Consider the following 13,310-nt stretch of genomic DNA (forward strand, 5'->3'; position numbering starts at 1 on the left):
ACTTGAAAAGGCCCCTGAGGGTCAGAGGATGCTCTAGATTGACTTGAGCCAGGTCTTTGGCTGAATACCCTTCCCCCAACTCCAGTAGCTTCTTTGGGGCCAGAGCAAGGCAGTGCTTAGAGGATGGGAGGAAGCAGGTTCCCTGGTAGGAAGCCCCCAGCCTGGCTTTTCACCAATGGAGGCATGAGGTCAGCCTCTCTCTGCACTAATGTTAAGGCTTGGCAATGACCTCTCCCCACTCAAGCCCACCCCTCCCAAATCCTCGTCATTCATAAACAGCTTCCACCCAGCTCAGCCATGGAGGCTGGTAGTACCTTCTAACGCAGGGTGCTCACCCTGGCTGCAGATCAGAATCACCCTGCTGTATCCCTCAGAGATCCTGACTCCATTGTTCTCCGTGAGTTATGGGGGCTCCTAGTTAAGCACGCCAAGTGGTTCTGTGTGTGGCTGGGCCCTGGGACCCCTGGCATGGGCAGCCATCAATCAGGAGAAGTCCTGGCTATGATCACCTCTTGCCTGCCGGAGAATCAGATGGGCAGAGAGAAGATGCAAAGCAGCATTTCCTCCTTACACACTTCCAAATGCTCGCCCACAGTGACTGTGTTTTTGTTCCATCCTGTTTTAGTGGACATATGTTCTCAAAATCATTACTCTGTGCTTGGGACTGGGGTCCAGGCCTCCTCCCCATTTTACGGATGGAGAAATTGAGGCTCAGAAGGGAGTCAGGACCAGGACGCAGGACAGACGATGCCAGATGAATGGCCCTTCCCATTCCTCTGCTAGAAGAACAAGTGTCCACTCCCTATTTCTTGTTTTTCTCCTGAAAATCCAAATGTTTATAGAAGTCATAAAGAGAAATAAACAACCAGGTTTTTGCCCCAGGAAACAGGTCTGGTGAAGATGTTTATTGGAGACTCTTGAGGACCAAACCCAAAACTGGGTCATCCTGAGGGGAAGAGGGTGAGGAGGAGCCACGATGAATTGCACCAACGTGGGATTTCTGAAGATAGTCGCGCCAGTTTCTGACCCTGGGGCTGCTGAGGGTGACCCCGTGTCCAGGCCCAGCAGGACAGTCCTGCCTTGTGCTTTTGTGCCCATGCCCTCTTTCACTCTCACAGTGCCCGGCTTGGGCGGCAAATGACACAGGTGCCCTTCACACCACAGGGAACTCCCAGACCTGGAGTTCTCAGTGCAGTGGACAGAAAAGGAGGCCGAGGCTTGCTGCGTTTTTGGAGACACTTAGCACCACATTCTGTATTTATCCACATTAGGTTTGGGACAGTTTGTTGGGAAGGGGCGTGTGTGTGTGTCTGTGTGTGTGTGTGTGTGTGTGTGTGTGTCTGTGTGTGTCTGTGTGTGTGTATGTATACACGCATGAGTGGGAAAGAAAGAAGGCCAGGCGCGGTGGCTCGCGCCTGTAATCCCAGCACTTTGGGAGGCTGAGGCGGGCAGATCACAAGGTCAGAAGATCGAGACCATCCTGGCTAACATGGTGAAACCCCGTCCCTACTAAAAACACAAAAAATTAGCCGGACGTTGTAGCGGGCGCCTGTAATCCCAGCTACTCGGGAGGCTGAGGCAGGAGAATGGCGTGAAACCAGGAGGCAGAGCTTGCAGTGTGCCAAGATCGTGCCACTGCACTCCAGCCTGGGCGACAGAGCGAGACTCCGTCTCCAAAAAAAAAAAAAAAGAAAGAAAGAAAGAGATGTCAAGTGGAGAGAGGCTGAGACCCTCAGAGCTCCAGTGGGTGGGAAGAGGCCAGGATGTGAAGTCACGAGAGCCGGGAGGCCCCAGATGCTCAGGACCCCCAGGAGTCCTGGGTTCTATGAGCCTCGCCCTCCTCAGCCCCTGCCTTGGGGATTTGGACTCTGCGGGGCTGGGAGGAGGCCTAGGAGTCCGTCATTGCAGGATCACACCCCCATCCCTGCACAATCCCTAATCTCACATCAGAATCACTCAGAGGTAGGACCAGGGTCATGATCCCATTTCAGGAAGGAGTGAAAGAGGGGCTTTGCTGGGCCCCGGACTCAGAAACCAGAGCCCTGGGTGGGTGGGGCCCAGGCTGGGCAGCCCCCAGCCAACCAAGGGTAGGGACTGGTAGGGCCCCAAGTGAATGGGTCCCCGGGCTCTAGCCCGGGAGGCCCACCGGGGATCTGCACAGCGTGGGCAGCTCTGCCGGGATCTGCTTGTGGCGCACTGGACGGCCGGGTGCTGACTCAGTGTCTGGCCAGCAGCAACTGGGCTGGGGCCAGATCCCATCGCAGCGCAGCCGTGTCGGCAGGCAGCTGCTCCCGGACCAGGACCAGCTGCTCCTGGGGACCAGGACCAGAACGAAGTGTTAGCTGTTGACACGTCAGTCCAAGTCCCCTACCCCTCTGCTTTTGCTGCTCCCAGTCCCTCCAGTTTTCCCTCATCTGTTCATCCACAAAGACCCTGGAAGCCCTGAGCTTCCTCTGTGTCTGGAGCTGCAGCATGGCAGTGGGAAGGGCTGCCCCTCTGCAGGGCCGCTGTGCTGTGTGCTAGGTGGGGCTAATAGCTGGGGTCACCCCTGCTGCTCACCCTTAGCTGAGGAGGAGAGGAAGCAAATTGGGTGCTCCCCAGTGACTTGGGTCTGGATTCTGCTGTCAGCCTACACACAGAGCAGGAGGCTGGGGACTAGAGGTTCTCTGGGGACAGCATGTAGAGGACTTGACCACAGTGCTAGATGCTGGCAGGGACGGAACCGAGTAAGACACCATCCTCCCCAGGGCAACCTGCCATCTTTCTGATGACAGACACTTACACAAGTACAGGGAAGACAGGGACCTCACGCCATGGAGGAGCCCAGGGTGTGCGAGGTGGACTTCTCCCCTGTGCAGACCTACTCCTACCTCCTCAGCCTGTCCCTGCCCCTGTGTCCTGGGAGGGTGGCCTCTCCAGATTCTATTCTGGCTTCAGCCAGTAGGAGAGACTGCCAGGGCTGGAGAGCAGGAGGAGAGGGTAAGGAGGGAGGGGGCTGATACTCCTGGCCCCACCTTTTCAGATCACTCCAGACAGCCTGCCCTCTTGCTGAGGGCTTTAGTTTCTGAATGGCACTGTCCAGTTCCACCACTGGCTCCCTCCTCGTGCCCTCCAGCACTGGCAAAGACCCCAATGCCACCCACACCTCCCTTGGTGGGTCCCCAGCCCTGTCCACACCTGTGTAAGCAGCCTGTCACCAAGCTCTCTGCAGCTGTGCCCCTGGAGCATAGCAAGAGGTTTCCTGCCGGAACCCTCACTGGTACATGCGGGTCTTTCTCAAAAGCCCACGAGCATTGACATAACCAGGCAGAGAGCCCCTCAAAATACCAGTAAACAATTCAAAGAAGAAATTGTACAAGTTATTGTTCTCTGAGCCTAAGCGATAAAACAAAAAGTAAATAAGAAAAGTATGGTCAAGAAAAAAATGTCTAATGCCTTGGAAGTTAAAAAACTTACTAGGTTAAATGAAGAAATATAACTGAAGTTGCAATCTTTCTAGAAATGAATGAAAATGAGAATGCTCTTTATCAAAACCAAGGGGATGCAGCCGCTGTGCTGTGAGAGGGAAGTTCAAGCTTAAAGGCATTGATACGAATTCAGGAAAGGTTGGAAATGATTGGCCTCTATGTTCAACCTCAGAATCTAGACAATGAACATCAACAACACGATTCAACAGGGCAGGATAAAGGGATTAAGGCAAAACCCCAAGTCATGAAATAGAAAATAAACACAAATTAGACTTAGGAAAAAAAAGGATTGGTTCTTTGAAAATGACAAGAGGATATAACTATAGAAACAAAATATTTAAAATTAAATACATATACAAAAAGTGAAAATCTAAGTAACATCGATACAGCTGGGTGCAGTGGCTCACACCTGTAATCCTAGCACTTTGGGAGGCCGAGGAGGATGGATCACCTGAGGTGAAGAGTTCAAGACCAGCCTGGCCAACCTGGCCAAACCCCATCTCTACTAAAAATATAAAAATTAGCCAGGCGTGGTGGCACATGCCTGTAATCCCAGCTGCTCGGGAGGCTGAGGCAGAGAATCGCTTGAACTTGGGAGGCGGAGGTTGCAGTGAGCTGAGATTGTGCCATTGCACTCCAGCCTGGGCAACAGAGCAAGATTCTGACAAAAAAAAAAAAAGGTGCATAATGAGAAGAAAATTGAAGCAAGTCAAAGAGAAATTACTAGAGGAGTCTTACCTATGCTATGGCAAATCAACCTAACAACTTTAAGGCCATAATAATTAAAACAACTCAATATTGGCAAGGGAACCAACAAAAAGATAAATGATAGAGGTAGCACATGCTAAGGGCGGGATTTCAAACTAGTAGGGGAAAGGCTCAACCTTCTCAGCTGCACTTGGGTGAAGGATCTCTGGAGAGGGAAAGTCAGGAACCCTCCCTGCTCCATGCACAAGCCCAGTGGACTAAAACCTAACCTAAGAACAGAAACTCCGGAGCAAGTGGGTGAGTGGGTAAATCAGCGAGAACCAGCTCTTTCCCAATGCCTCACCCACATGGAGGCCCATGGCCAGGGTTGGCTTTGTCTGATGGATGCGGGACACCCTCGGCCAGCAGGGGCCCAGGCGCGGCTGGAGACTGGAGGCCAGCTGAGCAGAAAAGCCAGGCCCTGCAGCGAAGCCTGATCAGAGGCAGCTCCCCCTCCCCGAGCCTGCGTGCTGCAGATGGGTGCTGGCTGGTGACACCATCCCTGACCGTGCAGGGCAGCCATCGGCGGGGATAGCCCATGTGTGCATACGGTTGGATGACTCAGAGTCAGTCCCAAGCCGGAGGCCTCTCACCCACAGCTGAAGTTTGATGTTGGATCTGTGCCTCACCGCAGTGTGGCCTGGAGTTCCAGGATGCTAACATTCACGAGCCTATGCAGTGCCCCCATGGCACTTTCAGAGGAAGGCACTGAGGGTTGAGCTGGACACATCTCCTGATCCCAGGGCCCCTGCCTCCTCGTCTCCATCAGGGGTTCTCAGAGGCGGCTGGGCACCTGGTGCACCCGGGCTGGCCACCGTGTTGTTAAATGCACCCCAGAGTTCCTGGGGCTCAGCCTGAGTCGGAGCCGCTGGTCAGAATTACCTCCAGTGCCCCGCACTGTGAGGGGGAGTGTGGCTTCTGGGAAAAAAGAGGCGCCATCTGCATAGAGCAGCCCTCTCTCCCTCTCCCCTCGTCCCCTTCTGTGGTCCCAGCTCCTGTGCAGGTCACCAGAGAGTGACTTTCCCTGAAGCCCACACTGGCGGCTCCTACCCTGGTAAGGAGGGGGCACACCTGGGTCCGGTTCCCAGGTAGTGTCTACTCAATGCTAGCTGTGTGGCTCCGGGCAGGGCTCCCTCTCTCCAGCCTCAGTTTCCCCATCTGTAAACTGGAGAGTCTTTTAGAGGCCACAACCTCGGATGACCCTTCTGCCACTCAGGCTCCATCAAAGGGTCTGCAGTTCTGCTTCCATCCAAGGGAGCACAGCACGCAAGGGACTTAACTCAGACTCAAGGTCAGAAGATGACCTGCAGAAACAGAACCAGCAGCAGGAGCAGCTGAGATGGAAGCTTTCCTTAGATCTTGGCAGAAGAGAAGTTGACCTTGGAGGAAGGAGTTTGGGGATCAATTCCCTTTTCCTCTGTTATTCAAGAGGACGTGTGGGGAGCTAAGAGGCCAGTCCAGATGCCGCCAATGCCGCTGTGTGCAAAGCTGTCTCTGAGAGCAAACGTGGGGCTTGGTGGCCGTGAGCTGGCCACACTGAGCATCTCTTCCAGGCAAATTCTGTCTCCCCCAGCCCCAGGTGCAATCACTGGGCCATGACTGGAGAAATTGAGTGGGGAGGTGTGGAGAAGGCATCCTGGCAACAGCAGGGGCAGTCGTGACCCATGGAGGACACCCTGTGTGGACCCGTAAGGGGGAGCTGCAGACACCATGGACAGCGAGTTCCCTGGGCTGGTCAGCAGGGGACAAGGATCCCAGCAATCCATGGCCTGAGCTCACAGGCCTGGAGGGCTCCAAACAGCCTCCCCAGTGCCACCTGCTGGGAAAAAGAATTAGAACCAGGGATGCATCTAAAACTGACAGGAAAGGTTAGACAGGAGCTCCCAACAGGGCGAGTGTGCCTCGGGATCCACAGCCCAGGCCCCCTCCCCATGGGGGAGGCTGTCCCCACCCAGGCCCAGGTGCCCACAGAAGTGTGGCCTTCCCGGGAGGATCCAGCTGTCGCTGGGTGGCCAACACGCCTCTTCTCAGGGTGCCTGGACACATGCTCCTGAGGCATGCCCCCCTGGGCTGAGCACAGGGAGCCCCACCTCAAAGCTGAAGCCCCATCAGTGCAGCCACATAGGTGCCTGGGTCCAGCTGGCCTCATCTCCTCCAGGCCAGCCTCCCCAGCTGCTCTTCTCCGTTTACAGGAGGGACCCTTGGATAGGTCACTCCCTGTTCCATGCCTCTGTTTCCTCATCTGTAAACGGGAAATAACACAGAATTTCCTCAAGGGGCTGCAAGGACTGGCTGAGTTCTGTAAAATGTGGAGGACAGGGCACACCGATGGCTCATTCCCATGACTCCTGGGCTTCTAGGATGGACAGGAATCCAGCTTCCCAGCTGGGCTTCTGGTTTCGGCCCTTCCCTGATGGATCTGGCATGGGAGGGCCCACTTCCTTCCAGGATCTGCCTGTGGCCTGTGCTCCTGGTCGGGCCAGCAAGAATGAACTTATTCTCAGGGTCCCCCCATCTCCCAGCCTCCTTGCAGCCTCCTGGGCCACATCTGCAGTCTCAGGGACTCGAAGCCCTGCGGGGAGAGGTCAGCGGGAGGCCTGTGACCTCAGAACACCTCTCCACCCACAGGCACCAGATCTGGGGGCAGCCCAGGAGGGGCTAGGACATTCCTAGGGCCCTGAGGGATGTGGGCTGGGAGCTGGCCCTCAGGGCTACCAGGTGAAGGTCTGGGCTGGGCTTTGGGGAAAGGAATCCGGGGGTCTGTTCTGAGGAAGGGAGGTCTTTTGCCTGGGGTGACCCTTCATAGAGCACTCTCTCCTGTCCCACCAGGAATTAGGTGAGGCCTTAGGCTTCAAGCCTACTGGGGTTGTAAGGGAGAATGAAAATCTTTCCTTTCACCCTCTGAAGTTTCCCTGAAAAAATGAACCGACAGAAAGCAGATTAACAGGAGAAAAGGCATACAAATTTATTAATGTACACAGGAGTCAGGGAAATAGAACTCAAAGAGGCTGGGCACGGTGGCTCATGCCTGTAATCCTAGCACTTTGGGAGGCTGAGGTGGGTGGATGGCTTAAGCTCAGGAGTTTGAGACCAGCCTGGGTGAAACCCCATCTCTACCAAAAAAAAAAAAAAAAAATTAGCTGGGCTTGGTGGCACGTGCCTGTGGTCCCAGCTACTTGGGAGGCTGAAGTGGGAGGATCACTTGAGCCTGGGGGTTGGCGGCTACAGTGAGCTTAGATGGCGCCACTACACTCCAGCCTGGGTGATAGAGCAAGACCCCCTCTCAAAAAAAAAAAAAAGAACTCAAAGAAAGGCAGGATAGTTGCTGTTTTTATACCACCTTGAGATTTGTAAACCAAGAATAAAGTCCTAAGCCCTTTCAACCAACTGACTAGACCCCGTTATATATATAAAGTTTGGTGCCGCAAAAGGAATAGCACTCGAATATAAAATTTTATTTTTAATTCTCAGCAAGGTAAGTTACTGCTATAGAAGGATGTACCCTTAGAGATGGAGCAATGGTGAGCGCACACCTGGACAAGGGAGGGGAAGCGGGTCTTAACCCTGAAGGATGTGGCCCCTGCTGCTGTGTGGTTCCGCTACTGGCTAGGGTTAGACCGCACAGGCTAAACTAATTCTGACCGGCTAATTTAAAAGGAGTGATGGGGTGAGTGCTTTGGCGGGAAAAATGGTTATGACAGAGCAGGTAATCAGAATGAGTCGGGGGGAGCAGGTGATCGGAATGAGTCAGGGTGGAATAGGTAATCAGAATGAGTCGGGGGGAGCAGGTGATCGGAATGAGTCTGGGTGAAGTAGGTAATCAGAATGAGTCGGGGGAGCAGGTGATCGGAATGAGTCAGGGGGAGCAGGTAATCAGAATGAGTCGGGGGAGCAGGTGATCGGAATGAGTCTGGGTGAAGTAGGTAATCAGAATGAGTCGGGGGAGCAGGTGATCGGAATGAGTCAGGGTGGAGTAGGTAATCAGAATGAGTCGGGGGGAGCAGGTGATCGGAATGAGTCTGGGTGAAGTAGGTAATCAGAATGAGTCGGGGGAGCAGGTAATCAGAATGAGTCAGGGTGGAGTAGGTAATCAGAATGAGTCGGGGGGAGCAGGTGATCGGAATGAGTCTGGGTGAAGTAGGTAATCAGAATGAGTCGGGGGAGCAGGTGATTGGAATGAGTCAGGGGGAGCAGGTGATCGGAATGAGTCAGGGGGAGCAGGTGATCGGAATGAGTCTGGGTGAAGTAGGTAATCAGAATGAGTCGGGGGAGCAGGTGATTGGAATGAGTCAGGGGGAGCAGGTGATCGGAATGAGTCAGGGGGAGCAGGTAATCAGAATGAGTCGGGGGAGCAGGTGATCGGAATGAGTCTGGGTGAAGTAGGTAATCAGAATGAGTCGGGGGAGCAGGTGATCGGAATGAGTCAGGGTGGAGTAGGTAATCAGAATGAGTCGGGGGGAGCAGGTGATCGGAATGAGTCTGGGTGAAGTAGGTAATCAGAATGAGTCGGGGGAGCAGGTGATTGGAATGAGTCAGGGGGAGCAGGTGATCGGAATGAGTCGGGGGGAGCAGGTGATCGGAATGAGTCTGGGTGAAGTAGGTAATCAGAATGAGTCGGGGGAGCAGGTGATGGGAATGAGTCAGGGGGAGCAGGTGATCGGAATGAGTCTGGGTGAAGTAGGTAATTGAAAATGTTGCTTTATGAGGAAGTTAAGTTTAACAGTAGAAGGCAAAGAATTGAACATACTGACATATTGATTCTTTGACTAGAAATTTAGAACTTATATCTAACAACCCCCTCTTGACCAAGGAGACTCCACTGAAACCTGAAAAGCTGAATTCCCAGCCATGACAGGAAGTGGGGTCAGACATACCTCCTTATTCTCCCTCCGTTTTGGGATTTAGGCACAGCTGAGCAGCACTAACCTTAAAGTAGAGATCATGAGAGTGATAGAGCAGACTCCTTGTGGCAATAAGACACCAAATTCCAGCTTGACTCTGGTGTAACCTCACACGACAGATGGCAGACCCTGAAGGAAATAAAAGTATTTTACTCCAAACTATATTTCTTTGACATATTTTGAGATGGCCCTGCAAAGCCATCTTTTGTGGGGGAAATTTGCATCTGTAGAGAATCTCCATTAATGCAGCCAGGCCTTCCTTTCTAGTCCTTTCCCGGATCTAAGGGAGATTAAATGAGGGTCTGACACTTTCAAAGTCTGAAAACAGACATTCACCTTCTATTCTCTCTGAAGACTGCGACCTGGGAGGCTTCAACTGCATAACAAGAACCGTGCTCTCCACAACCCCCTTATCTTAACCCAAGCCTTTCTTTCTACTGACTTCAAGTCTTTAAACAAAGTCTAGCTCTTTCAACCAATTGTCAATCAGAAAATCTTTGAATCCATCTGTGACCTGTAAGCACCCCAACTTGGAGATGTCCCATCTCTTTAGGCAATTTACACCTTCCATGTATTGATTTATGTCTTTGCCTGTAACGTCTGTCTCCCTAAAATGTATAAAACCGAGCGGTGACCCGACTCCCTGGGCACACTTTCTCAGGAACTCTTGAGACTGTTCCCCGGGCCATGGTCACTCATATTGGCTCAGAAGAAACCTCTTTAAATATTTTATGGAGTTTGGTTTTTCTTTGAACAGGTTACAGAAAGAATGGAGGCTCAAGCACGGCCAAAAACAGATCCCAGTGGCATGGCAGGTTTTGGGAGGGGGAGAAGAGGAGGCCAGGCTCACCAGGTTAGGGGACCTCACAGCTAGCAAATGGTAAATGCTGCTTTTAGCCTTTAAGGGTGACAGACTGATATGGTTTGGCTCTGTGTCCCCACTCAAATCTTACCTTGAATTTTAATAACCACCACATGTCAAGGGTGGAACCAAGTGCAGATAATTGAATCACAGGAGTGGTTTCTGCAATGCTGTTCTCCTGATAGTGAGTGGGTTCTCACAAGATCTGATGATTTTATAAGGGGCTTCACTTGGCATTCCTTCTCCTTCCTGCCATCATGTGAAGAAGGACATGTTTGCTTCCCCTTCCACCATGATTGTAAATTTCCTGAGGCCTCCCCAGCCCTGTGGAACTGTAAATCAATTAAACCTCCTTCCTTTGTAAATTACCCAGTCTCAGGCAGTTCTTTAATGCAGCATGGGAAGGGAGTAATATCGTAAACTCTTACCACAGAGAGTGGGGTGCTTCTGTAAAGATACCCAAAAATGTGGAAACAACTTTGGAACTGGGTAACAGGCAGAGTTTGGAACAGTTTGGAGGGCTCAGAAGAAGACAGGAAAATATGGGAAAGTTTGGAACTTCCTAGAGACTTGGAGGGTTCAGAAGACAGAAAGATGTGGGAAAGTTTGGAACTTCCTGGAGAATTATTGAATGGCTTTGACCAAAATGCCAATAGTGATATGGACAACGAAGTCCAGGCTGAGGTGATCTCAGATGGAGATGGGGAACTTGTTGGGAATGGGAATAGAGGTTACTCTTGCTGTGCAAAGAGACTGGGGGCATTTTGACCCTGCCCTAGAGATCTATGGAAAGCTGAACTTGAGAGAGATGATTTAGTGTATCTGGTGGAAGAAATTTCTAAGTGGCAAACTGTTCAAGAGGAAGCAGAGCATAAAAGTTTGAAAAATTTGCAGCCTGATGATGCAATGGAAAAGAAAACCCATTTTCTGGGGAGAAATTCAAGCCAGCTTCAGAAATTTGCATAAGTAATGAAGAGCTGAGTGTTAATCACCAAGACAATGAGGAAAATGTCTCCAGAGCATGTCAGAGACCTTCACAGCAGCCCCTTCCATCAAGGGCCCAGAGGCCTAGGAGGGAAAAAGGGTTTCCTGAGTTGGGTCCAGGGCCCCCCTGCTGTGTGCAGCCTTGGAACTTAGTGCCCTTCGTCCCAGCCACTCCAGCCATGGCTAAAAGGAGCCAACATACAGCTCAGGCCATTGCTTCAGAGGGTGCAAGCCCTAAACCTTGGCAGCTTCCATGTGCTAATGGGCTTGTGGGTGCCCAGAAGTCAAGAATTGAGGTTTGGGGAGCTCCCAATCCCTAGATTTCAGAGGATGTATGGAATTTCCAGAATGTCCAGACAGAAGTTTGCTGTAGGGCAGAGCCCTCATGGAGAACCTCTACTAGGGCAGTACAGAAGGGACTGTGGGGTCAGAGCCCCCACACAGAGTCCCCACTGGGGCACTGCCTAGTGGAGCTGTGAGAATAAGGCCACCATCTTCCAAACTCCAGAATGGTAGATCCACCGACACCTTGCGCTGTACATCTGGAAAAGCTGCAGACACTCCATAGCCAGCCCATGAGAGCAGCCAGGTGGGGGGAGGGGAGGTGTTGTACCCTGCAAAGCCACAGGGGCAGAGTTGCCCAAGGCCATGGGAGACCACCTCTTGCATAAGCATGACCTGGATGTGAAACATGGAGTCAAAGGAGATCATTCTGGAACTTTAAGGTTTAATGACTGCCCTGTTGGATTTCAGACTTGCATGGGGCCTGTAGCCCCTTTGTTTTGGTCAATTTCTCCCTTTTGGAATGGGTGTATTTACCCAATTCCTGTACCCTCATTGTATCTAGGAAGTAACTAACAAGCTTTTGATTTTACAAGCTCATAGACAGAAGGGAATTGCCTTGTCTCACATGAGACTTTGGACTTGGACTTTTGTGTTAATGCTGAAATGAGCTAAGACTTTGGGGGACTATTGGGAGGGCATGATTGTGTTTGAAATGTAAGGATACGAGATTTGGGAGGGGCCGGGGTGGAATGATATGGTTTGGCTCTGTGTCCCCACCCAAATCTCACCTTGAATTGTAATAATCCCCATGTGTCAAGGGCAGAACCAGGTGGAGGTAACTGAATCATGGGGGCAATTTCTGCCATGCTTTTCTCATGATAGTGAGTGAGTTTTCATGGGATGTGATGGTTTTATAAGGGGCTTCCTCATTTGCTTGGCACTCTTTCTCCTTCCTGCCTCCATGTGAAGAAGGATGTCTTTGCTTCCCCTTCTGCCATGATTGTAAGTTTCCTGAGGCCTCCCCAGCCCTGCATAACTGTGAGTCAATTAAACCTCCTTCCTTTAAAAAATTACCCAGTCTCAGGCAGTTCTTTATGATAGCGTGAGAACAGGCTAATACAGACTCTCAGCTTATCTTTCCTAAATACAGAAAAATGAGGGCCTCAGCAAAAGCCTGGCTGCATCAATGCAGGTTTTCTATACAGATGCAAATTTCCCCACAAAAGAAAGCTTTGCAGGGCTGCTTCTGTTTTCAGGCCCTCTGAACAGCCATCTCAAAATATGTCAAAGAAGTTTATTTGTGGGGGATATATTTTGGTTTCCTTTCTGGTGGAAGCTCAGATCCTGGGGGAAGGTGAGCCTCCAGGCCTGCCTCCTTCTCTCCCTCTCCGCTGCCCAGAAACTCCTGGGACAGGGAGTCTGGACCCTGGTGAGAGAATCTGAGAGAGTGGGCTGGCCAGGCAGCCAGGGCAGGGCAGCCACACAGCCCTGCAGAGAGCACTGGCCGGACCTGTGGCACAGCTGGCCTCCTGCCAGGAGCTGCCCGTGTGCCAGGCACCATGGCCAATCCCTTCCCTGTCAACCCTAAATAAAGAGATTCAGAAAACAGGATGAAATGGACAGTTAACTTGAGCACAGAGCATAAGGACAGCCACCTGGGAGCACAGACTCCAAAGAGTGGGAGTTGGTGCTCCGAAGTTCTGGGGGCTATTTGTATAGATAAGGTTTGGGAAGCTTAACAGGTGATATGGTTTGGCTGTGTCCCCACCCAAATCTCATCTTGAATTGTAGTTCCCATAATTCCCAGATGTCATGGGAAGAACCCAGTGGGAGGTAACTGAATCATGGGGACAGTTTCCCCTATCCTGTTCTCATGATAGTGAGTGAGTTATCATGAGATCCTATGGTTTTATAAGAGGCTCTTCCCCCTTCACTCTGCACTTCTCTCTCCTGCCACCATGTGAAGAAGGACTACAGTTGTACATTCGAGGTAAGGAACACCGTTGGGCATTAGAGGGAGAGGAGCACCACTGTACTTTAGAGGGTGAGGTGCACCATTAGGCA

The 13,310-nt window shown here is 51.8% G+C and overlaps 1 annotated feature.

Annotated features, from left to right (window-relative positions):
* Positions 4,552 to 5,052: an enhancer, noted in NCBI's record as "H3K4me1 hESC enhancer chr2:241778610-241779110 (GRCh37/hg19 assembly coordinates)". NCBI's record gives its function as "activates a minimal SCP1, AML or CMV promoter by ChIP-STARR-seq in naive H9 embryonic stem cells {active_cell/tissue: H9 hESC(naive)}" and the evidence as "EXISTENCE:reporter gene assay evidence [ECO:0000049][PMID:30033119]".

The sequence above is a fragment of the Homo sapiens genome, chromosome 2, assembly GCF_000001405.40.
Source record: "Homo sapiens chromosome 2, GRCh38.p14 Primary Assembly".
Lineage (NCBI taxonomy): Eukaryota > Metazoa > Chordata > Mammalia > Primates > Hominidae > Homo > Homo sapiens.